The sequence below is a fragment of the Homo sapiens genome, chromosome 6 (genome assembly GCF_000001405.40).
Source record: "Homo sapiens chromosome 6, GRCh38.p14 Primary Assembly".
NCBI lineage: Eukaryota > Metazoa > Chordata > Mammalia > Primates > Hominidae > Homo > Homo sapiens.
This window is the reverse complement of record NC_000006.12, coordinates 9224614-9227153: the sequence shown is the minus strand read 5'-3', so window position 1 is coordinate 9227153 and position 2540 is coordinate 9224614. Positions and strand designations below refer to the sequence as shown.

Here is a 2540-nt window from a genome sequence, read left to right as displayed (position 1 = left end):
TGAAGAACACGAATGTCCTCCTTATTGGTAAATCCACATTTCTTAATCTCTATGTTGATAATTCCCTACTGTTAACTATCTTCTTCTTCTTGAAACAATCTCTCCATTGGCTTCCATGCCACACCGTATCCTCCTGGCTTTCTTCCTCTCTGACTGCTTCCTAATCTCGTTTACCAGTTATTTCTCAGGTTTTATTCTTCTGTGTTAAATGTATGCTTTCCTCTGGACTCTGACCTAAATTATTTTCTTTTCCTGTAATATACTCTTAACCATTTGCCAAATTTTTACTACCTAAATGCTGCCAAAACCCACACTTTTGCGTCCAACCCATGACTTCTCTTCTTAGCTCTAGACCCACGTAAGTGAGAGCCCATATACCACACTCACTGTGTCAAAACCAGAGCTCCTCATGTGTCCTTCCAATCCCGAGCCTCTTCTCATGTTCTTTACACAACAAATAATGCTATCATCTTCCCAGCTGATTGTTCAGAAATTTCAGAGTCCTATGTAACCCCATCTTTTCTTCTTTCTCCTATGTTCAATTAATTACCAAAAGATATTGATTTCCAAAATCTGTCCACTTGTCATTATCTCCATTATCTTCTCCATGGTTTAATCCAACATCAACTGTTTTCTTGGCTAAAGCAAGTCTCTTAACTGATTTCCCCACAATTACTCTTGCTCTCCTAAATTTATAGTTCACACTACACTGAGTGTTATTATTATTATTATTTTGCCAAAGCAAAATGGTCTTTTATTGTCTCAAAAAAATTCTTACTAATTTGAAGAGTCTCTTTATCTAGACCCTGCATTCCTTTTCAGTCTTATCATAAACCATTATCTTCTGTCTATATATTCCAGTCATACTGAACTCTTTCCTTTACGGTTTTTGCATCGTAAATCTATTTTTCTTCCATTCTGTTTTCTGGTTTAATGTCTATTCCTCTTTCAGTTCTTGGTTTATATGCCAGTTCTTCTAGGAAGTCTGCATTGATTCATCCCTCTCCTCAGACTCAGTAAGATCCCTTTCTTTTAAACTTCAATAGCACAAGTTAGTTTCTTAATATCTGCCATCTCCACCTGACTGTACATTTCAGGAGGGCAAGCCTGTGTGTACTTTTGCTTTGCAGTTTTTTTCTCAGGACCTACAACAATGCAGACTCTATAACGGTGCAGTCACGTTGCAGATACTCAATAAACATGTGTTGAATAAATGACTGATGGGACGGTGTTGGTTCTTACATACCAGCTGTCCCCAGTGTTCTGCCAGCTCCTTGTCAGCTGAGGCCTTGTCCCAATTATGAAAGAATACAGAGGAAAGACAGAGAAACAACTTACCGCTCTTCCTTGTCCTGACATGCCCTGGACCATGCCTTTTTACAAGCTGCTGAGCCTTAGTTATTATGTGTGAGGAATAGAGTATTTCTTACAGCCCAAGAAGGTCTTTCTTTCTCTGCATTCATGGAAAGAATAGGGATAAGTGTGTGTAATTGCTGGCTCTGGTCCTAGTCAGAAGCTTGAGGAACCAGAAAACCCAGGACATATTTCTTGTCTTCTGTCTGAGAGTTTGCACGTTGACATCAATCAGTGGTCAGTGAGGAACTGCAGACTACGTGGAATGGGGCTGGGAGTGGAAGAAGGAATGTTACTGCTTCATCCAAAACAAATTTCTCAGTTGTTTGACAGTTGTTGAGCAATGAGAAAAGATGCAGTCAATTTTTGATTTTTTATTTCGCACTTATGATCTGAAGTCTTTTGGCAACACATCATGCTAGTCAAGAGTGGTGGAAGAGACATTGCCATAGTTTCTTCTTTAAGGTTTAAGATCTAGATGGCATACAACAACAACAAAAAAACAAAGGTAAGGTAAAACAAGACTACTATTAATATGTAGACATAGCTCTATTTATATATGCTAAGCCAAACTAACAAAATAGAATACCTACATAATTTCCAAAGTTTCAGAAAATTGTTAAACATTAAACAAGATACAAAAACTTAAAGTTTTAATGTTTTGACATTTCAAAGATTTCAAGAATTAGAAATTATTTCTAAATTTTTCCAGTTGCGGCCTCAGACTCACTAGAAGTTTGAAGATGGAGTTCACGCTTGGAAAGATCATCTTGGGTTTGGCTATAGGCCTGTTCAGTCAAATCATTCATATTTTTCTTCTAAGAGGAAAGGCAAAAACTCCAAATGATTTACATAGATGCCCCTAGGAAGGAAACCCATAAAAAATATAAGCAAATTAATGGGGAAGGATTGTGAAGAACTGCAATATGTCTGAGATTTTTATCCTATTTGGACATGAACAAATTAGCCTGCCATAGTTTCTTGGTTGCTAGCAGAAGACGTGAGACTCCTGGTTCAGAGACAAGGACTTTATGACTCACAGTACAGCAAGCAGCATGGGCATCATGTCTGTGCTGAATCATATTGCCTCTTGCCTTCCAAATCCTAGAGGGTAATACTGAAGGGCCCTGGTGGATCTTTCACATACAGTTGGTTTGTGTGAGGCAATCAACACATACAGCTGGGGA

At 38.2% G+C, this 2540-nt stretch overlaps 1 long non-coding RNA gene across 1 annotated transcript; it reads right to left on the bottom strand.

The window, feature by feature from the left end:
• Positions 1 to 736: 736 nt before the first annotated feature.
• LOC124901255 (uncharacterized) lies at positions 737 to 2297 on the bottom strand. Its single transcript, XR_007059442.1, has 2 exons — positions 2084 to 2297; positions 737 to 1827 (listed from the first exon to the last, which is right to left on the bottom strand). It is a non-coding gene; the product is annotated as an uncharacterized LOC124901255 (long non-coding RNA).
• Between the last annotated feature and the right edge of the window lie 243 nt (positions 2298 to 2540).